The sequence below is a fragment of the Homo sapiens genome, chromosome X (genome assembly GCF_000001405.40).
Source record: "Homo sapiens chromosome X, GRCh38.p14 Primary Assembly".
Lineage (NCBI taxonomy): Eukaryota > Metazoa > Chordata > Mammalia > Primates > Hominidae > Homo > Homo sapiens.
In genome coordinates, this window is record NC_000023.11 from 41,615,334 (window position 1) to 41,639,104 (window position 23,771).

At 39.2% G+C, this 23,771-nt stretch overlaps 1 protein-coding gene and 1 long non-coding RNA gene across 14 annotated transcripts in view; one reads left to right on the plus strand and one right to left on the minus strand.

The window, feature by feature from the left end:
• Nucleotides 1–23,771, minus strand: part of CASK (calcium/calmodulin dependent serine protein kinase) — a 408,621-nt gene that overhangs the window by 100,400 nt on the left and 284,450 nt on the right. For 9 of the 12 annotated variants that reach the window (NM_001126055.3, NM_001410745.1, XM_006724566.4 and 6 more), the window contains 2 exons: nt 21,245–21,328; nt 11,271–11,370 (listed from right to left, as the gene is read on the minus strand). In NM_001126055.3, the coding sequence (NP_001119527.1) occupies nt 11,271–11,370; nt 21,245–21,328 (184 nt within the window). Of the gene's footprint in view, nt 1–7,283; nt 7,302–11,270; nt 11,371–21,244; nt 21,329–23,771 lie in introns of all 12 variants that reach the window. The other 3 variants (NM_001126054.3, NM_003688.4, NM_001367721.1) reach the window with 1 other exon arrangement.
• The window catches only part of LOC124905180 (uncharacterized), a 39,334-nt gene continuing 21,567 nt past the window's right edge, over nt 6,005–23,771 (plus strand). For both annotated transcript variants that reach the window (XR_007068219.1, XR_007068220.1), the window contains exon 1: nt 6,005–6,338. This is a non-coding gene — a long non-coding RNA (uncharacterized LOC124905180). The remainder of the gene's footprint in view (nt 6,339–23,771) is intronic.

Below are 23,771 nucleotides of genomic sequence, written 5' to 3' on the forward strand. Positions count from 1 at the left end.
TTAAAAGCCAATTTTCTCTTCATCCTTTACTGAAAGCCTTGGAAAGCAAGAGATGATGTGAAGAAATTAGTCCCAAATGTCCCACTGAACCCCTGACCCCAGCATGTCATCAACAACAGAATTAAATGATGCTAGGTTTATCAAGTTACTAAAGCCAGTTCTAAACTTCTGGACTTATGAAACCACAATAACAAAAATACTAATCAAGTGCCTTTTTTGTATATTAAAAAATTCAGCTGATACCACAGAAACCTAATTATCATCTTCACTCAGTTATCTTACTGAAATCTTACTGAGTTTTTTTTTTCTTTTTTTTTGAGACAGAGTCTCACTCTGTCACCCAGACTGGAGTACAACGGCATGATCTCAGCTCACTGCAACCTCTGCCTCCTGGGTTCAAGCGATTCTCGTGCCTCAGCCACCCAAGCAGCTGGGACTACAGGTTACCACGCCCAGCTAATTTTTGTATTTTTAGTAGAGACGGGGTTTCACCATGTCGGCCAGGCTGGTCTCGAACTCCTGGGCTCAAGTGATCCGCCTGCCTCAGCCTCCCAAAGTGCCGGGACTACAGGCCTGAGCCACTGTGCTCGGCCTTTTACCAGCATTGCTCATGCTGATATACAGTTTATGTAGCAGTTTATTAATAATATAAGATTAAAGCAAAAACAACCTTTTATCAAGTGAATACTAAGATGGTCAGTCTCAAGACCAGGAAGCAATTTTGGCTGTACCAGACCAGGGATGTATCATTTGTTGGTCTGTGAACTTCCCAAGTGCTCCATGCCATTCCTGTACCACCAGCGCACTCCATGAGTTACTTATGTGCGTGCTTGTTCACTCTTTTTTTCCCTTAGCTGTAAGGTCCTTAAGGCAGCTCTTTATTTTATTCATTTTATAATATCTACAAAGTATGCACTGAATTAAGTACTTAAGGAAACACTAACAGCAGCTCCCAATTCTTGAGTGTTTATTATGTTCCAGGAACATCCTCAGGACAACACAGTAAGGCAGATATATTATCCCACCTTCTAGATAGGGAACTGAGCTTCAGAAGGTTCATGGAAGGGCATAACTAGTAAATGGTGGAGCCAGGACTCAATCCTGGGTTTGTTTGGCTTCAAAGTCTATGTTTTGCCTAACTTACTACACTAATAGGCTATGCTAGGAAACATACAGGAAACCTTCAACAAGAAGTTGTGTGGTTTATGCATGAATATGGAGGTTGGAAAAGAACTTGAACAATGCCCTATTGGGTCAGACAATAACCAAAATCTTTTTTTTTTTTTTTTCCTGAGACAGAGTTTCACTCAGTTGCCCAGGCTGGCATACAGTGGCATGATTTCAGCTCACTGCAACCTCCGCCTCCTGGGTTCAAGCAATTCTCCTGCTTCAGCCTTCCAAGTAGCTGGGATTACAGGCACACACCACCACACCCAGCTAATTTTTTGTGTTTTTAGTAGAGACGGGGTTTCACCATGTTGGCCAGGCTGGTCTTGAACTCCTGACCTCGAGTGATCCGCCTGCCTAGGCCTCCCAAAGTGTTGGGATTACTGGCGTGAGCCACAGCGCCTGGCCCCAAAATCTTTATTGAATATTCCTGCTTTTTGCTAGGTACTAGGCAAGGGCTTCAGAGAAATCAGAGATATGATCACCGGCCCTGAGGAAGGGGCTCTCAGACTGGTGTGTGAAGTAGGCATATTATACCCTGAAGTAAACGGTATAGAAGAGGTAAAAACAAACTGACACACAGGCTGCCTAGGGAGGAGTTGGGGAGCCGCAGAGAGGTGGATGAGCAGGAATTCACCACCCCCACACAGGATCAAAGCTGTGTTGACAGGACCAGCAGATACTTTGCTGGAAAGCACAAAGGCATCTGTTAGCAGGCATTTAAAGTAGGCAAGAGCCACAATTCCAACAGGTCTATTAAACCTCCTTGGATCTGTCACCTCTTCTGAACTGATTTATAGTCTTATCTTGTACCCAAATATGATTAACTTGATGGGTTCTCAATCATGAAAAGAAGCACTTCCCTAGTTGTACTCAAGTTGTCTATTTCAAGCTCTGAAAAGTGCCCCTATTTTTAAGTTTCTGTAATTAGGTAGAAAAATTAGAGTTTTTATTCCATTTCTCCTTCATCTTTTCAAATGGAATAAATACATATTTTTGGCTTAACCTCAAAATCTGTCTTCACCCTTGATTATTTTAACACCTTCCATTAACACCTGTTCTAGTTCCGTTATTTCTTTCTTTGGGTATGACAAACAGAACCACAGAACACATTCTTGGTTGGATAGATGTGTGTATAATTGATATCTGTAGTTCAGTACCAACCATCTAAAAATCCCATGGTGTTTCAATTCATTATAAGATATAAATAGACACAAAGACACTTCTCGGGCTTCTCCATTGCTATTTGTTTTAGATTTTAAACCCCGAGGCAGTAGTGATTATTAATATAACACATGCAGCACATGCTAATTAAGATGTTACTAGTTTTCATTTTGAAGATCAATACTGTCACATATAAAATAACTATTTTTCTCAAAGACTAAAAAGGCTGTTTTTCCTATAAAACCTCTGAATAAACTTGTAACTATCTTGAAAACAAAATCAATCAATAAAAAGTACACAAGTTCACCTCAGAGGGCAGTTGATTTAACGGCAGGACTGTAGGTATCCTATTTACCTCTGTATTCTGGGGTGTACTTTGCAGAGTCCTTTGTACCAAGACACTTCATAAAATGGCCTGATTAAAATGATTTTTTTCTGAGTAAATTCTGAAGAATTGAAAACAAAGTATGAGAAAGACTTAACCACAGAAAACAATTTCTTTTATAGTACTGTTTCCTTAAAGCCACATTTGAAATTATTTTAATACTTATATTTGTATTAACAGCTTATAATTTCCAAAGTGCTTTTATACTTACTACCTTATGTGATTCCACAATAACCCTGTCTCTGCAGGCAAGTGTTTTTTTTGTTTTGAGACAGGATCTTGCTCTGTTGCCTAGGCTGGAGTGTAGTGGCGTGATCCTGGCTCACTGCAGCCTCGACCTTCTGGGCTTGAGCAATCCTTCCACCTCAGCCTTCCAAACAGGTGGGACTACAGGCACGCTACCATGCCTGGCTAATTTTTTAAAAAGTTTTTTGTAGAGTTGGGGGTCTCTCTCTGTTGCCCAGGCTATTCTCAAATTCCTGGGCTCAAGCAATCCTCCCGCCTCAGCCTCCCAAAGTGCTGGGATTATAGGCATTGAGCCACCATGCTTGGTCAGCAAGTGTTTTTATATTTGAAAAACCAGAGGCTCAGTAGGGTTAAATAACCTTTCCAAGGGCCACAGGCAATAAGCAGAAGATCAAATCCTAGAACCCAGGTCTCACTCCTAATTCAGTGTTCCTTCCATAATAGACTGTCCCCCACCCACAAAATCATGTTTTATCCTCAGCAATGCATCAGAATGATTTGCATTTGGTAATGAGGTGATGTCCAATTTCTTTTTTTTTTTTTTTTTTTGAGACAGAGTCTCACTCTGTCGCCCAGGCTGGAGGGCGGTGGTGTGATCTCGGCTCACTGCAAGCTCCGCCTCCTGGGTTCATGCCATTCTCCTGCCTCAGCCTCCCGAGTAGCTGGGACTACGGGCACCCGCCACCACACCTGGCTAATTTTTTTTTTGTATTTTTAGTAGAGAGGGGGTTTCACCGTGTTAGCCAGGATGGTCTCAAACTCCTGACCTCGTGATCCACCCGCCTTGGCCTCCCAAAGTGCTGGGATTACAGGCGTGATGCCTAATTTCTGTTCTCTCTTTAATCTCAATTTGATTTACCATATAAGGTTTTTTCCTAGCCCTTGGTCCAAACTTCCACATTCATGAACTTATTAGATACTATAATGCCCTGCCTTCAGAATAGTATTTTGTTTTCATAATTCATTTGGCAATAAAGTTTGTATCTAAAAATCAGGTTTATAATCATACTTTTTTTTTTTTTAAATAGAGATGGGATCTCACTATGTTGTGCAGGCTGATCTCAATCTCCTGGCCTCAAGCAATCCTCCCACCCCAGCCTCTCAAAGTGCTGGCAAGGCATGAGCCACCATGACTGGCCTGCACATTTTAACTTTGAATACTTCTACTTTTTCAAATAATCTCACCAGTACAAACAAGTTTTTCAAAAGTTTTCTGCTACTATTATGAAATAATAGTCAAAAAAAGCATAAATATGTCAACTGTTTAAAAAATGTTTCTATTTCTTTAAAGAGAAATATGCTTTTAAGGTCAATAAAAGCTTTGAGTCTAGAATAATCTCATTACGAGAGTGGAAGTCTCATAAAAAGGTTGACCAAGTAAAAATAAACCAAAAGGAGGACAGAAAAATAAACAGTCAAATGTTTAGACTAAAAAGTTCTCAGTGTTAAAGTAGGCTGAGTATGTCTTAAAAGTTTTTCCCCTTACATTTTACTACGAAAAGCTTCAAACATACAGAAAGTTTGAAAGAATCGTGCCCACCACCTAGATCCTACATATGTTGACAGTTTGCTGTATTTGCTTTATCACATGTCTACCCATCTATCCATCAGTTCACGTATTTTTCATTCATTTCAAATTAAATGGCAGTGGCCAGCATTAGTACACTTCACCCTTAAAGACTTCAGCAAAGATTGCAATGCTTATTTTTCTCTCTGAGGTAAAATTTACATAGAATGAAATACACAAATCTTAAGTGTACCATTCAATGAGTTTTGATATACCCAAGTTTTCACTGTAATTGTTTCAATAAAGATTTGTGTATTTCTTTTTTTTTTAAATAGTACAAACTTTATTCATAAATAAAACTTCATAAAGATAAAAGCAGGGACATTTCCTGTTTTTAAAAGGGAATAGTGGAAGGCAGTATGCCATCTTATTTAAAATCACAAGTTAGGTTTTTCAGATGGATGACAGTTGAGATCATTAAATCCCATTCCTGCTTCTCAGATTTTCACAAAATAACACATTAAATTCTCAATGTGTGTGTATTTCTTAATTTACAATGTATAGCTATGAAACTCAGCATCACTGAGCAAATCTAGAATCTGAACCTAGCCTAGCTTCTTCTAAGAGTAATCAATACCTTTTCTATTATATTAGCGATCAATTAATACATTGTATTACTACACACACACATTATCACCTACTCAATCAAAGCCCCTCCTTGCAAGCACAATACTTTTTAAAAAAAATCTGCTTACTAAGGTATACTGTTTTAAGTTAAAAGTCGCCATTTAAGTGTACACTGTCATCACTTCAAAAAAGTTCTCTCTTGTCCCTTTGCAGCCAATCTCTTCCCTCTATCACCACACCCTGTTCAACACTTTTTATTCCCACTGCACAAAGCAAATTCTTTGTTATCAATCAAGTTATAAGCAATAATGAATCCTGTAATGGAAACTGTATTTTGGACATAAGCATCTGTGCCATATCCAACTCAAGTTATGAGAACTTACATATGGTGATACATGCTTTAGATTCTCCATATGTGGATTATGGTACAGATACCTTGAAATTTATTAAAGGAAGTAAACTCTGCATATGTATTCTGTCAGCGTATAGATGTTATAATCTCTAATGCCATTATGATTATTAAAATAGTTTATGCTTCCATATAGAAACATCTTCGAGCACAGATTTTTCAAAGTACTTTAATAACATTCTGCTATTAAGTACCCACTCGTGTAAAGCTTTACAACTAAGGAAAATCACTACTGATACATCCAAGATGCCCATTCTCAAATAACATGACAGGTTGGCTGATTTAAAAAAAAAAAAAAGAGGAGCGCTAAATCTAGACGGGAAGAATCTTACATTTTAATAGTTATTAATTTGTACGTGGTGGGCAGCCTCTAAGATGGGCCCCAGTAACCTGGTCTCCTGGTATTTCCAGCCTTGTGTAATCAGTCCCCTCCCCTGGAGTGCAGGCTGGACTTACTGACTCATTTCTAATGAACAGAATAGTGCAGAAGTGATAAGACGTCACTATGAGATTAGGCTGTAAAGACTGTGTCTTCAGTCTTGGGCACTGTCTCTCACTTTTGCCCCCCTCTTTTATCTTTCGTGCTGGGAAGTGAGCTGCCATGCTGTGAACAGCCAGCCCTGTGAAGAGGACCACAGCCAGTAAGGAACCGAAGCCTGGCAACAACCATGTGAGTGAGCTTGGAAGAGGATTCCTCCTGCAGTTGTGCCTTCCGGTGAGATAGCAGCACTGGACCACAATCTCATGAGAGATCTTGAGCCAGAGGCACACAGCTAAGCCACGCCCAGATTCCTGACCCACAGGAACTGTGAGATGACAACTGCTGTTTTAAGGTAATTCATTACCCAACAATAGGTAACTAATATACTATAAGATTTATATTAAATCAGCTGCAATTTGAGCTACAGATAACTAATGTAAGAAAATGTGAAAATGAATTCAATCATTAGTACCCAGGCTTTCTCATTTATCTTTGAGGTAAAGGTTTATTTTTTTAATTAGAATTTTTATTGAGATAATTGTAGATTCACATGCACTTGTAAGAAATAATACAGAGAGATCCCTTGTATTCTTTGCTCAGTTCCCCCATTGGTAACATTTTACAAAACGATAGTATATTATCATAACCAGAATACTGACATTGATACAATCCACCCATCTTATTCAGATTGCCTCAGTTTTACATGTACTCAACTGTGTGTACATTTCTTACATTTTAATTTTCTCCCAAACTCAAATTATGCCCCTTTGTAATTAAAATCTAGCTATTACATTATTCCTTATAAATGTTCTATCTGATGGTAAAAGTTGTTAAGAGATATGATTTCAGAATTTATTTCACAGGTCCAAATAAACTGAAAATGGACTCAGTAACAGGAAGCAATAAAGACCACTTACAGGTGATGTAATTGTCAAAGAAAAATTCACTTACCCTGAAAGTTTTCTTGAAAGCAAACTCTAAAATAAATGTTACTCTTTCCCCAGAATTAATGTATTCGTATGTGAAATTCAGATGTGAAGTATTAAATGCCGTTGAAATTTTAACACTGTCTTTTTTCCTCTTATGAAAGAAGTGAGAACTTAATATTGTTTGTGCAACAATGCCTCAAAAATCAATATATCCAAGTTTTAATTTTATGACCAGGCAGTGTTAAAATTAATACTTAAACAACTACACACAAACAGCCAAGGAAAAAGTCAAGCTGATTACGAACCATGCAAAGCCAAACACTTTTGCATAAAAGATACACCTTAAAGGAAAACAAAGGGATACCTACTTTCTGCTGCTAGAAGTCCTAGGAGGAAGGCAGCATATGGACAAACAACAAACAGTATGATTTTAGAACAAGCAGGTTATCAAGCCACAGTTCGGCCCACTACATGAGCCACCAGAAGCATGGTCCCCCAGCTGACCCCAAAGTGAGCCCTCATGTTCCATGAGTACAATCACTGGAACTGTTTGGGATTTCAGACATCAAACGTTGGGTTCTGATTCTGAATTACTTGATTTGAAATATGAGAAAAGAATATTTCAACATTGATTTTTTTTTTTTTTTTTTGAGATGGGGTCTCACTCTACCACCCAGGCTGGAGTACAGTGGTGCAATCTCAGCTCATTGCAAACTCTGCCTCCTGGGCTCAAGTGATCCTCCTACCTCAGCCCTGGCTCCCTACCCTCCTGGTAGCTAGGACTACAGGCACATGCCATCACGCCCAGCTAATTTTTGTATTTTTAGTAGAGACGGGGTTTCGCCATTTTGGCCAGGCTGGTCTCGAACTCCTGACCTCAAGTGATCCACCCACTTCCACCTCCCAAAGTACTGGGATTACAGGAGTGATCCACCGTGCCCAGCCCCACTTCAAGCAATACACAGTTCATCATAAGATTAAATGAATTCTAGTAAATGCATAATGTATGAATTTCAATAATCAAAATAGAAAATTATCATTTATAGAAAAATTGTTTTACATCGTAAACAATATACCTAAACATGTTTGACTTCTTATTAGATGACAAGTTTTTAAACTGTTATTTTAAATATTCATATTTTCCTAAATGCATAGAGTATTACTCTTTTTATTTTCCTTTCCTTTTGTTTTTGAGATGGAGTCTTGCTCTGTCACCCAGGCTGGAGTGCAGTGGCACGATCTCGGCTCATTGCAACCTCCGTGTCCTGGGTTCAAGCAATTCTCTTGCCTCAGGTGGATTACAGGCGCGTGGCCATCATGCCTGGCTAATTTTTGTATTTTTAGTAGAGATGGGGGTTTCACCATGTTGGCCAGGCTGGTCTCAAACTCCTGACCTCAAGTGATCCACCCACCTCGGCCTCCCAAAGTGCTGGGATTACAGGCATGAGCCACTGTGCCTGGCCCCTTTTCTTTTTTTTGAGACAGAGTTTTGTTCTGTCATCCAGTTTTGAGTACAGTGATGCACTCACGGCTTACTGCAGCCTTGACCTCTTGGGCTCAAGTGATCCTCCTGCCTCAGCCTCCCTAGTAGCTGGGACCACAGGTGTGTGCTACCACGCTTGGCTAATATTTTGACTTCTTACAAAGTAGAGGGTCTCCCTATGTTGCCCAGGCTGGTCACAAACTCTTAGGCTCAAGCAATCCTCCTGCCTTGGCTTCTGAAACTGTTGGGATTACAGGCATGAGCCACCATGCCCAGCCTTTAGCTCCATTTCTAAAGATGAAAATGGTAGTAGAGATCTTGACCTAAAATCTCAAAGAGATTTATCCTAAATATATTATAAGCATGTGATTATATCATACAGCCACAGTATGACAATACAAACCATTACTGGATCCACTCCCCTTAAATAGGGTCCACTGTAATCTGAGTGTGAGGAGAGAAGACAGAGGTTTCAGCTAACAAAAGAAGTTACAGGTGGAGGGAACAAAATGGAGTGGAAGAAAAGACAGACGTGAAACAATAAGAAGCACTGGGGACCACACCTATAAACACAACTAGATCCCTGCCTTTCATGTGGGAAGGGCTCTGGATAATGACCAAGTCAGCACAAGAGAAAAATGGCAAGGCTTTCTCCTCAGTCTCTTCTCTAAGATTCCCATTTCTGAATGTTTTTGGAAATCACCTTCACTCAAAAGAGGAAGATTCACATCCTAATTGGTAAAGGTCAAAATGAGGAACTGTATAACTGCTGGAATGGGAAAGTTGATCTTGTCATTTTAAAAAAGTTCTAAATTTTTGTGGGTACATAGTATACATTTATGGGGTACAGGAGACATTTTGATATGGGCATAATGATCACATCATGGTAAATGGGGTATCCATCACCTCAAGATCTTGTCATTTTGCACAAGGTACAAGCACATACTAATTGGTAAGAAATTGTGTGTGTGTGTATGTGAATGTGTAGGTGCACACACATGTATAAACAGAGGAGAGGAGAAGCATAAATACTGACAGATGCTCATGGTACCAACAGGAAAGAAGCATTAGCACATTAATTCTTCCTATATTACTAACTGTGGGACAGAAACCTCAGGCTTTAGGAAGGGCCCAGGGCCTCAGTCCCAGTGGTAATATATGAATATTGATGAAGCTAGTCCAAGAGTACAAAAATCAAAGATGACAAATATGGAGTGGCTCTAATGAAAGAAAGAAAAAAAGCTGAGGCCAGAGGACACATGATTCAGGAGTTAAGTAAATAAAAAATGCATAAATAAAAATTTAGAACACACACACACACGCATTTACATATACATATAAATGGACCCTATGGGTTTTTAGTAAATGATTCTTGAGAATATTACACTGGTAAGATGGAAATCTGAGCATTTTATAAAATGGTTTTGGTTTTTTATTTTTTTATCTCTTAATTTTTTTTTTTTTTTTTTTTTGAGACGGAGTCTCACTCTGTCGCCCAGGCTGGAGTGCAGTGGCGTGATCTCGGCTCACTGCAAGCTCTGCCTGCCGGGTTCACGCCAGTCTCCTGCCTCAGCCACCCGAGTAGCTGGGACTACAGGTGCCCACCACCACGCCCGGCTAATTTTTGTGTATTTCTAGTAGAGACAGGTTTTCACCGTGTTAGCCAGGATGGTCTTGATCTCCTGACCTCATCATCTGCCCGCCTCGGCCTCCCAAAGTGCTGGGATTACAGGCGTGAGCCACTGTGCCTGGCCTTTTATCTCTTAATTTTTAAGAGGCGAGGTCTCATTTTGTTGTCCAGGTTGGAGAGCAGTGGTGTGATCACAGCTCACTGCATCCTCAAACTCCTGAGCTCAGGTGATCCCCCTGAGCCGGGTGCCTCAGCCTCCTGAGTAGCTATGACTACACATGCACACCACTGCACTGGCTTATAAAATGATTTTGTGAACACTGGCAGGTTGTTTCAGGGGTACTTATATACAGTTCATCAAAACAAATAACTCTTCTGTGTTCTTCCCCTTTGGATACTTGTATGCATGTGTTACAGATTTTTTTTTTCTTTTTTTGAGATGGAGTCTCGCATTATCGCCCAGGCTGGAGTGCAGTGGCATGATCTCGGATCACTGCAACCTCCGCCTCCCGGGTCAAGTGATTCTCCTGCCTCAGCCTCCCAAGTAGCTGGGACTACAGGCGCAGGCCAGCACGCCTGGCTTTTTTTTTTTTTTTTTTTTTTTTTTGTATTTTTGTGTTTTTGCAGAGATGGGGTTTTGCCATGTTGGCCAGGCTGGTCTCGAACTCCTGACCTGAGGTGATCTGCCTGCCTTGGCCTCCCAAAGTGCTGGGATTACAGGCATGAGCCACCATGCCTGGCCGTGTTATAGATTTTTATACAGAAAGAAGAACTTGGTAACTGTTTCAGGAGATAACTCACAAGACAGCTCTACACTGAAAGATTCCATTCAAAGCAGTGCTGCCCACAGTCTGATCTAATACGACTGACCTGGGGAAAAGCTTATATTAGAAGTTTTTGTTGAGAGAGAAGGTAATCAGAAAGATCCCAAAAGACTGACTAGGATGTTGGATTGGATGGAGTGCAATGCTGGGTCTAGAGTGTGGAAAGGGGAAGAAGTATTACTGAGGTGAAAAGAAAAAAAAATGAAGTGTTGGTTTTGGAGCCACAGGAGAAAGCAACTTTGGTATTAAAATGAAAAGGAACAAGACACATGTAGACAGGATTTGGTTGCTGACAAACTTCCTTAGAATCCGTTGGAGGATTTAACTAAATGCACAGGAAAAGTTTATTCACAATGGGAGAGAATGGATGTAAATGCCAAATGACCCACACAGGTGAATAAGTGAATTATCCAATTACCTGAGGAGGTAGGGTCTTCGGAGAAATCTGGTAACTCTTCAGGGGGATCCCCATAGAATGAGTTGAATTTGTGACTTGACACAGCGGCTAGTACTGCACCCTAAAACAAAGAGATGAAAAAATAGATTATTAAAACAAATACACAAATATAAATAAGTTATTTAACAAATTATTTATCTTAAGGATTATCCATTAAGTCAAATATATAGGAGATGATGGCTAGAAGAGAGGTAGTTTTTAAATTATTTCAGATTCCTTGAAATAAATTACATATGCATATACCAGAATAACACTAATCGGGAATTGTAGAAGTATATGAAACCACTTACATCTTGAATTCAAACATGTAACACAGGATGGAATATTCTGCAGTTATTATAAAATGATGTTGTAGAAGGGTGTTTAGTGGAATGAAAAGATGTCTGTGATTAATTACATGAAAAAGGTTTAAAATCAATGTATATTATAATCTCATTTTTGGGTAAAAAAGTTAATATGGATATAAAAGACTGCATATACACCAGAATGTTATTAATTATCTCTGGGTGGTAGGATTATGTGTCATTTTTCTTTTTAAAATCTTTTTTCCCTCTTTTTGTTTTAACAATGACAATGTCTTACTTTTGTATAGTAATTCTCCATCAGGCCACACAACAGAATCAACTACATATGACTCTTTTAAGCTATATGCATAGCCTCCCCTTATTCCTAGTTGGAAATCACTGCCATTTGAGTGCATGACATCCCTTAGGACTGTAGAGTGGAAAAATGTTGGGAGTTACTGCTTCAGTAAATCATATTTATTTTATTTTTTATTTAAACAGCTTTAGGGGTACAAGTGGTTTTTGGTTACATGGATAAATGGTACAGTAGTGAAGTGTGGGCTTTTAGTGAATCTGTCTTCTGAGTAGTGTACAGTGTACCCAACAGGTGATTTTCTATCCCTTGCCCCTCCACCCTCCCCTATTCTGAGTCTCTAGTGTCCATTATACTACTCTGCATGCCTCTGTGTACCCATAGCTTAGTTCCCACTTATAAGGGAGAACATGTGGTATTTGGGAGTAAATCATTTAACCTCTCTAGGCTTTCTTATCTGTAAAGTAAGAATATGAAAACGGGCTGGACGCGGTGGCTCACGCCTGCAATCCCAGCACTTTGGGAGGCCGAGGCGGGTGGAACACCTGAGGTCGGGAGTTTGAGATCAGCCTGACCAACACGGAGAAACCCCGTCTCTACTAAAAATACAGAAAATTAGCCCGGCATGGTGGCGCATGCCTGTAATTTCAGCTACTTGGGAGGCTGAGGCAGGAGAATTGCTTGAACCCGGGAGGCAGAGGTTGCGGTGAGCCGAGATCGTGCCATTGCACTCCAGCCTGGGCAACAAAAGTGAAACTCCGTCTCAAAAAAGAAAAAAAAAGAATATTAAAATGGACTTATCTTACAGGATTGGCAAAAGTCATAATGTATTAATGAAAGTGCTTTGCAAATTGTAAAGCATTCTGTAAGTGCATATCATTACTAACTCTACTAATAAAGATCTAGAACATGAGCACAGCCTTTTGCTGGTCTATGTAGAATCACTCATTTAGTTAGTTTATCAAATCACCTAAGTAGTCTAAGTCTAAATTTTAAATATTAACTCTTGAATTTTTCTGGAAAGATAAAACTTGTTTGTGTTTAGGTATCTGCTAATATGAGAACATTATTATTATTTTTTTGAGACAGGGTCTCGCTCTGTTGCCCAGGCTGGAGTGCAATGGCACAATCTCGGCTCTTTGCAGTCTCAACCTCTCAGGCTCAAGTGATCCTCCCATCTCAGTCTCCCAAGTAGCTGGGACTACAGGCGTGTGCCACCATGCCTGGCTAACTTTTGTATTTTTTTGTAGAGATGGGGTTTCACCATGTTGCCCAGGCTGGTCCTGAACTCCTGCGCTCAAGTGATCCACCCACCTCGGCCTCCCAAAGTGCTGGGATTACTGGTGTGAGCCACTGCGCCTGGCCAGAAAACATTAATAAAATATATTTCCACAAAGTTTACTTACTGTAGAAAGGGAAGGGCAAAAAGAGAGAAGTGATATTGATGTTAACATTCCAGGTAACTTTTGAGATTTCTGAAAGTCTAAAGTTACGCATGAAAGGTTCTTATGCAGAATTATAGTTACCATGTTGAAAAAACAGTAGTGAATGTTGAGTTCTTCTTTTTATAAAAACTTATTTTACTTTACGTATTATACATGTTTCCTAAAAGCTGGGTGGGAATGGAATTTTTATATATCAAATCACGTTTCCCACACACGGAAACTAGGCTTTTAGAGATGCTTTATTTTTATTTCCAAATGAAGTACAACTGTATTTCTTAAGATGTTAGTTATACGCTTCAAGGCCTGTTCTTGCTACTATTGTCAAAGATCTGTAATAAATACCTATACTACTAGGAAAACAGTATCTAAAAGAGCCCTGAGATGCAAATGCTTTTGAAACAATAGTAGTATGCTTTAAATTTATCTGTCTTATGACTAGCAGTTTTGTTTACGTAGTTTGTTTTTTTTTTAAATAATAGAAACTGAGTCTCACTATATTGCTCAGGCTAGTCTCAAACTCTGGGGCTCAAGCACTCTTACGGCCTCAGCCTCCCAAAGTGCTGGGATTACAGGTGTAAGCCATGGTGCCCCACCTAATATTTAGTTGTCTGAACCCAGTGACTATAGATGGTTTAAATATTCAATGCAAGCCATTATGTAAAACAGCAACATCATTCTGAAATAGGTCACGGATTCATATAATTTTATTAGTTTGAGAATCAACCTTAGAGATTATTCATTCTAAGGGACTCATTTTGCAGACGAGAAAACTGAGGTCCAGAGAGGCTTAGCAACCTGTTAAGGTCTCTGTCAACTTAGAGACATAATGAAGAGTAGACATAATTGACATTCAATGACTACTCTCCCCAGTTCAAGGATTTCTACTATACTAGGGGTCAGCAATTTTTTTTCTGTAAATAATCAGACAGTAAGTATTTTAGGCTCTAAAGGTCATATGATCTCTTTTGCAACTACTCAGTTCTACCACTGTAGTGTGAAAGCAGCCATGGACAATATGCAAATTAATGTACTTTGCTATGTTCTAATAAAACTTTATATACAAGAATAGGCAGTGGGTTGGATTTGACCCCCAGGTCATAGTTTGCCAACCCCTGTATTACATTATTGCTACTGATTGCTAATAATGTAATATTGCTCATCGATAGCAATAATGTAATACAACAATTAAAAAATCAGATTTTATACAAGTAGTTCTTCAAACTTTCTGGTTTATTAAACCCTTGACAAAGAAGTTTTCTACCTGCTTTAATTTAGAAGGTATAATTTAGTATCTTTTAAGGGCGAAACATAATACTTTTGAGTTAATTAGACTATTCACAATCTGTTAAGATAAATAATATTAAAGTTGTAATTTTCTATCAAGCAAATTAACCTAGAAAGGAGAAGGCAGATTATAAATTCAGAGAAAAAGAGCACCACAAGTTTTTAATTTGTAGTTAAGAACTAGAAATAATTCTTAATCATAATTATAGTTTTCTTGAAATGTCAATATGTCAAACATCAAAATGGTATGCTTCTGGCTAGATGATTCTGTGTGGCATTTAAGGAAGTGGAAAACAAGAAAATGGTTAGGTCAGATTTCTGCTAAGTTTAACTACTGAATGCACTTAAGGAGGGAACAAAGTTATTGAGGAACACAAGAGCTGAACAAAGATGTATTGCTGACTTGAAGACAAAAACCAAAAACCGAATACTCCCTTTTTGGTATTTCCTGAGCTCAGAAACACGCATCATGAAGTTTGATAGGCACAATGGCAGAAGGGTACATTTTTAAACCTTAAATACAAAATACACAAGTATTGGATATAAAATAATTGGTTTTGTACCTAAATAACAAGGCAATACACAGTCATGGCAGGAGGGTACATTTTAAAACATCTAAATACAAAATATACAAGTATCAGATATAGAATAATTGGCTTTGTACCTAAATAACAAGGTAATATATAGTCATATTCCTGAGTGAACAGGGAAATATACTGAGGGGAGAAAGTGTATCACCAGAACATACCAATAGGAGTGTGACAAAGAAATTTGAAAGATAATCATCCTATTAGAATTCAGACGACTGAACTCAAAAGCCCTAAAAAGGGTGGAGAATTTGGAGAGGTTGAGGCTGAACAGAGATGACCAAAAGTCAAGAAAATCATTTCAAGGTAGAGATGTTAAAGAATTTGGGTTGATTATACTTAATAATTAGGTCCTAGATGATAATTAGGTGAGATGATTAATTAAATCAGAACTTTTGATATGTCTCCATATAGCCAAAACCAGAGTTATCATTCAGTTTAGTCAGCATAGCCTATACATATATAATACTCAAACATAACCTAAACATAGGTCTAAAACCTTTAATTTCATAATTTTCAGTCAGGATATATGACTAAAAGAGGCTGCAGTATTTTCTCTAGAGAAAATGAAAAATGAGACTTGTAAGTGTACTAGATATAGTTATATTTAAGAGTAATTGCACAGAATAGATATCTTAGAAATTCTTTTGGGTCTATGTAAAAGTATTTTATAGAGATGGTCTTAAATGTACATAATTTTCAAAATCTATTGCCCAACAGGAAGTAATATATTCTACATTTCAGAATCATAAACTGGTGGGACATGGTGGCTCACACTTGTAATCCCAGCACTTTGGGAGGCCAAGGTGGGAGGATTGCTTCAGTCCAGGAGTTTGAGACCAGCCTGGGCAACAGAGTGAGACCCTGTCTCAATTAAAAAAGAAAAAACAACATATATCTATATATGTATTTCTTTTCTTTTTTTGTTTTGAGATAGAATTTCGCTCTTGTTGCCCAGGCTGGAGTGCAATGGTGCAACCTTGGCTCACTGCAACCTCCGCCTCCCAGGTTCAAGCAATTCTCCTGCCTCAGCCTCCCGAGTAGCTGGGATTACAAACATGTGCCACCATGCCCAGCTAATTTTGTATTTTTTTTAGTAGAGATGGCGTTTCTCCATGTTGGTCAGGCTGGTCTCGAACTCCTGACCTCAGGTGATCCGCCCGCCTCAGCCTCTCAAAGTGCTGGGATTATAGGCGTGAGCCACCGTGCCTGGCCTATATATGTATTTCTTAAAAAAAATCACAAATTAATTGATTTGTAAAATCAATATGTAAGATCAAAATCACTTCACTTATTATTTGTGGAACTGTTCATACCAGAATATTTGCGGAACTGCTCATACCAGAATAAGTTTTCAGTTTTTAGAATTAAGGTCCCCACCCCGCTTATTTTTGAGACAGAGTCTTACTCTGTCACTCAGGCTGGAGTGCAGTGGTGTGATCACAGCTCACTGCAGCCTTGACCTCCCAGGCTCAAGTGATCCTCCCACCTCAGCCTTCCAAGTAGCTGGGACCACAGGCGTGTGCAACCACACCCGGCAAATTTTTTATTTTTGTAGAGCCGGGGTCTCCTTATGTTGCTCAGGCTCAAAGGTTACCTTTTGGATACCAGATTTAATGCTCTGATTAGCTGAAGCCCACAACGACTGCTATCTCAATTTACTGCCTTTGTACAAACCCTTACTACAGAGAGGACTGTATGTAAATGCTGGGTTTCATTACGGTACAAAGGTCTTTGATAAATCTTTAAGTTAGTTTTTGTTGAACTAACAGAAAGAAAATTGCCAAAAAATATCTATTATAGCTTCCTGGTTGACCTATCAAAAAGTGCTGCTTATGTATAAGCATTACTCTGCAGTTACCAAGACTCTATAGCAATACCATACAATAGAACTATCTGTGATGAAGGAAATTTTCTAAACCTGTGCTGTCTAATACAGTAGCCATCAGTCACACGTGGTATTGAGCATTTGAAAGGTGCTAGCGCAACAGAGCAACCAAATTTTACTTTTTATTTAATATTAATTTATTAAAATTGAAATGTAAACAGTTACATATGGCTATTTACTACTGTACTGGATAGTACAGCTTTATACAGTATTAGAAAATGGCACTCCTAAACAAACCTTTCGTAGTTATGCACAGTTCAGGAACACAAGTGACCAATCAGTAAGTCAGAGAATACTTTTGCAATTTGCAAAATTAATAAAGGCTGGGCGCGGTGGCTTATGCCTGTAATCCCAGCACTTTGGGAGGCCGAGGCGGGCGGATCACTTGAGGTCAGGAGTACAAAGCCAGCCTGGCCAACATGGTGAAATCCCGTCTCTACTAAAAATACAAAAATTAGCTGGATGTGGTGGTGCCTGTAGTCCCAGCTACTTGGGAGGCTGAGGCAGGATAATCACTTGAACCTGGGAGGCGGAGGCTGCAGTGAGCCGAGATTGCGCCACTGCACTCTAAGCCTGGGTGATGGAGTAAGACTCTCTCAAAAAAAAAAAAAAAAATAATAATAATAATAAAGAAAAACTGTAGAAAGTTATTAGAAATCCTTGCTTTCTGTATATATAGGAAATAAATGATTTTATCCTCTTAACTGAATCACGTGGACTCGACTCACCATTTCTTAAATGGACTGCAATAAACTTACCCAAACATAGAATATTGCTTCTATTTGTATAGAATTTCTTCAACACACTTCACTGTGGGGAATTTGCTTTCTAGGGGTAGAAATAATTGAAGAAGCAATAGGGATGACTTCAGAATACATTCCCTCCTGAGTCTCTTCTCTGGATAGACATCCTCAGATAACAACAGTTACCACTTTCCTCAGTACCTCCTTCAGTAGATGACAGCCAGGGTTAGAGTACAGGTGTGCCCCCTCAAAAGCCCCAGACCACAGAGCACAGATTTTCCACACAGCCTGGAGATCATGCAGTCTGTCTCATGTATCCTAATATTCAGTTTGAGAAAATGTCCTCATATTCAGTTCTGTGCTCAGAACGATGTAGTTTATTAAAGAAAGTATTGTTATCTAGAGGATTCTTTTTTTTTATTTTTTTTTAATGAAGTATTACAATTCCAGAGCTTAGTATGAATTAGGAGGAAAAAACTCGACACATGAAACATGTGGTAACCAAAATGGGGAAAATACATTTTCCATCATTCCATCATGACTAAGTTACCAAAGTAATTTTCTTTCTTTCTTTTTTCTCTTTTTTTTTTTGAGACAAGGTCTCACTTTGTCACCCAGGCTGGAGTGCAGTGGCGTGATCTTGGCTCACTGCAACCTCCGCCTCCCAGGCTCAAGTGATCCTCTTGCCTCAGGCCCCCAATAGCTGGGATTACAGGCATGCACAGCCACCACACTTGGTTAATTTTTGTATATTTTGTAGAGACGGGGTTTCACCATGTTGCCCAGGCTGGTCTTGAACTCCTGAGCTCAAGCGATTTGCCCGCCTTGGCCTCCAAATGTACTAGGATTACAGGTGTGAAACACTGTGCCTGGCCACAAAAGTAATTTTCTACCGCTTTCTGTGAACTCCCTTTTAATCACTTCCAAGGGAGTCATTACAAATTAAACTGTCACCCACCACTGAGGAGGTTAAGAATAGTGTCTGGGTAGGATGAGCACCTAGTTGTGTGAAAATAAAGTGTGTGGTGGACTCTGAAAGCCAAGGAAGTTGCAATCTCTGTTCTAGAAGTCCACTGAAGAGGCAGAATGGGAATTAGTTCCTTGAGGATGGTAGGTGTAACATGTTTTAACAAGGTGGCTGAACTACTCAAAAGAATACAGCCTTATCAGAAGCCAAACACATTCACTAATGACCCTGCTGATGTTCCTAGTTCTAGGTTGTTTGGTGGGTCTTAAAACTTTAAATAGCCCTGCAAGGGGATGTGGTAAATCCACATGACCCCTCTCTGTTTTGACAGCTTGGCCCTGTCCAAATGAATCTTAGTCACCACTTTGGCTATTTTAGGCCCAAGTCTGATTCTGTGGCCCCGGGAGAAGTACAGCATGTGTTTCTTGTGATGGGGCAAGCCCAAGCTCTCTGGTGAAATGTTTGTATTTGGGCAATGAAAGGTTCAACCCCATACAGCGTAATGTCACATGAGGCCAAAGCAATTAGGTTTAGAATGACTTATAGAAAAGTTGACAAAAAAGTGTAATAATAGTTTCTTTGGGGAGGAAACTAACTTCAAAAACAGTTGACCAAATTTCACTTTGAATAATAAAAGAGTTTTTTATTTGTAGGCTACACAGGTTTAGGTGGATATCAAGGCAAAAAGAATAAAAGTTTTGGGAAACTTCTTTGGCTACCATCTCAATAATGGCTTATCATTAATAATTATTTTGGCCAAGGATTTTTAAAGCAAATAGAGAAGAGTCACTTTGAACCCTTGACTGCAAAATCAGTGAGAAGAAAGGCTAAAATGGGAATAATCAACACCAACAATGATATGTTAATATTTCCCTTGTTCTATAGTAGCATGGTTGAATAGATCCTTCTGTAATGATGGAAATGTCCCAAGCTACATCTGTGCTGTCTAATATAGTAGCCACTAGCCAACTGTGGTTACTGAGCACTTGAAATGTGCTAGTGTGACTGGGAAACTGACCTTTTAATTTTATTTAATTTTAATTAATTTAAATTTAAATAGCTGCATGTGGCCAGTGGGTACCATGTTAAAAGTTTCAGGTCTATAGGATAATATTGTAGCCTAATAGTTTCCTCAAAATTCATATAAATGTTTTTATAAGTCTAGAGTTATACATAATAATTCACTAATTTCAGGGGTTGAAAAATAAAATGGTATTATTAGAATTTATGGCATATCTGAAAATACTTAAGAAGAAAAGTTTTATAGTTGGCAGGAGTCATGTGACTAAGGAAGACTACTATCTAATCAACCACTTAGAGAACAGTTAACATTTTTCAGTATCAAAAGTAAGTCAAACATAAATTAATTCTAAGAAGTTAAGATAATCAATTTCCCTTTGTTACTCTGGAGGGTTGGGTGGGGGATGGTCTCTCAGCATTTTCTCTCAGTGCTGAAAAGATTCCATTACTTTATGTCTGGTCTTTTTCAGAACCTTTTAAAGTCAAATGGACTCCCCATATGGGGTGATTACCAGTTTTCTTTTCTTCTTCTTCTTTTTTTTTTTTTTTTTTGGTGAGGTGGAGGATAGGGAGAGTAGTAAGAGGGAGAAAGACACCTAGGAAGAATAAAGAAGGTGAGAAAAGTGATCTGAGCTGAAAATATTTTCTAGTAGATCAAGGTAGTGTAAGATTTTATTTACTGCTTTCTGATAGTTGTTCAATCCTAGTTCCAATTCTTTTTTTTTTTTTTTTTTTTTTTTGAGATGAAGTCTTGCTCTTGTTGCCTAAGCTGGAGTGCAATGGTGTGATCTCAGCTCACTGCAACCTCCACCTCCCAAGTTCAAGCAATTCTCCTGCCTCAGCCTCCCGAGTAGCTGGGATTATAGGCGCCTGCCACCAGGCCCAGCTAATTTTTGTATTTTTAGTAGAGACGGGGTTTCACCATGTTAGCCAGGCTGGTCTTGAACTCCTGACCTCAGGCAATCCGCCCGCCTCGGCCTCCCAAAGTGCTGGGATTACAGGCATAAGCCACCACACCCGGCCCCTAATTCCAATTCTAATTCAAAGTTATTTCCATTGAACTAAACATACATTTGTCAAAATATTTAAGTTTGAAAAAACATGGTCTAGATTCATATTCAATAATAATGGATAATAATATATCTCTGCTATAAATTTAAGACAAATCTAAAATACAACTAATCTTCTATTATAATTTATTGTTCAGACTCATACTGATATACTACCTTAAATAATTTAAAAAGCCAAAATCTTATTGAAGTGGTGGTAATTTTTGGAAATGAGAATTTAGCTACAACAAAAACAATGGCCAGCATTAGTACATATTTATGGGCACCAAAATAGAATAAAAACATGATCATTAACTATATCTGTTTGGCTTTTTTGCTGATTTGTTTAATTTACCTTTAGTTTCCTCCTTGCATTGAATTTCCTCAGCTGCTCTACTGTTTCTGGAAGATGAATCTTGTAGGCGTAACGATCCCGCTCCTATGTAAGATGAAAGATAATGAACATATATAACCGTTTAAAAAAGTGCAGAAGCTTAATCTAAAACAAATAATAAAGCTAAAATTCTTAAATATAAAACTCAGATTGAATTTTAGATTGGAGATTTTATTCCATGATACTGGTAAGCAATCTGAAATGAGGGATATTAAGGTTAAACTGATAGTAATAAAATAATATTTCATTTTCAGCAATAAAGGGCTGAAATAATAGGTCACGTAAATTTCATATATATGGCTATGTGGCTAAAATAACAAATCGTAATTATTATAAAGGCATTGTTACTTTTTTTTTTTTGAGACAGGGTTTCACTCTGTCGCCCAGGTTGGCGTGCAGTGGCACAATCATACCTCACTGCAGCCTCAAACCCCTGGGCTCAAAGTGATCCTCCCACCTCAGCCTCCTGAGTAGCTGGGATATAAGTGCACCAGCCTGGCTAATTTTATTTTTTTTAATAGAGAAGGAGTATTGCTATGTTGCCCAGGTTGGTCTCAAACTCCTGAGCTCAAGCGATCCTTCCGCCTCGGCCTCCCAGAGTGCTGGGATTTACAGGTGTAAGCCACTCTGCCTGGCCTCAGGTTACCTTTGACATGATTTGCCAGGTAAAACAAGCATTTGAAAAATCAATTCCACAACTGATTCAGCATTCTACGTTGTCATGGACTATAACAATTACAGACTCTTCTAATTAGGACACGCTTTTTTTTTTTTTTTTTTTTTTTTTTTTTTTTGAGACAGGGTCTTCCTCTGTTGCCCAGGCTAGAGTGTAGTGGGCTGATCATAGCTCACTGCAAGCCAGGTGTGGTGGCTCACACCTGTAATCCCAGCACTTTGGGAGGCTGAGGCAGGAAGATTGTTGGAGCCTGGGAGGTTGAGGCTGTGGTGAGCTAGGATCTCACCATTGTACTGCAGCTTAGGTGACAGCGTTAAGACCCTGTCTCAAAAATAAATGAATCCCCCATTATTTATTTATATATTTTTAGAGACAGGGTCTCATTCTGTCGCCCAGGCTGGAGTGCAGTGGTGAGATCCTGGCTCACCACAGCCTCGACCTCCCTGGCTCAGGCAATCCTCCCACCTCAGCCTCCTGAGTAGCTGGGACTACAGGCAAGTGCCACCATGCCTGGCTAAGTTTTGTATTTTTTGTAGAGATGGGGTTTTGCCATGTTGCCCAGGCTGGTCTTGAACTCCTGGACTCACACGGGGTCCTCCCACCTTGGCCTCCCAAAGTGCTGGGATTACAGGTGTGAGCCACTGTGCCTGGTCCCTCATGTGTATTTTAAACCTCTTCTTACTCTTCTCCCCACTTTGGTCCTACTCTAATTTGCCAATGTATCTTGAGGATTCATATGCTATAAGCACTCATTAATTTCATAAATATTTCAAGAGCTGATTATATGCCAGGCATTGTCCTATGCATTTGGCATACATGAGGAAAACCAACAAAGATTCCAGCCCTCATGTAGATCATATTCTAGTGCAAGAAGATGAGAAAACACAAAAAAGGTAAATTGTAGAGTATGTCAAAAGTACTATGGAATAAGGCAAAAAAGTAAAGCAGGTAAGAGGGATTGGGTACCTTGATATTTAAAATAGGGTGGTTGGCTGGGTGTGGTGGCTCATACCTGTAATCCCAGCACTTTGGGAGGCTGAGATGGGAGGATCACTTGAGGCTAGGAGTTCAAGATCTAGCAAGAACCTGTCTCTATGAAAAAATTAAAAAATTAGCCAGGCGTGGTGGCATGCACCTGTAATCCCAGCTACTTGGGAGGCTGAGGATTGCTTCAACCCATGAGGTCAGGGCTGCAGTGAGCCATGACTGCAACTGCACTCCAGCCTGGGCAACAGAGCATGACCCCATTTCTAAAAAACAAAAACAAAAACAAATTGGGTGGTCAGAGTAGGCCCAATGGAGAAAGTGACATTTAGAAGAGGTGAGGGAGTGGTCTAGGCAGAGAAAATAACCAATGCAAAGGCCCAATGGAGGGAGTATGTTTGGAATTTTCAAGAAGTAGCCAGGAGACCAATGTGTGTGAAGTGATGTGAAGGGGTCAAGGAGAATAGCGGGTCAGATCAGAGAGATGACAAGGCTGGGGTAGGCCATGCGGGCCTTTGGCTTTTATTCTGAGTAGGAGAGGAAGCCAGTGGAGGGTCTTGAGCTAGAGTGACATGATCTGACTTTATTTTTATAGATTCTGGGGTTACATATGCAGGTTTGCTATATGGTTATATTGCATAACAGTGAGGTTTGGCTTCTAGTGTGCCCATCATTCAAATAGTGAACACTGTATTCAATAGGTAATTTTTCTTGTTTTCCCTCACTTTTATTCAACACAGTACAAGATATCCAAGCCAGAGCAATTACAGAACTAATAGGTAAATTTTCAACCCTCAACTTTTTTTTTTTTTTTTTGAGATGGAGTCT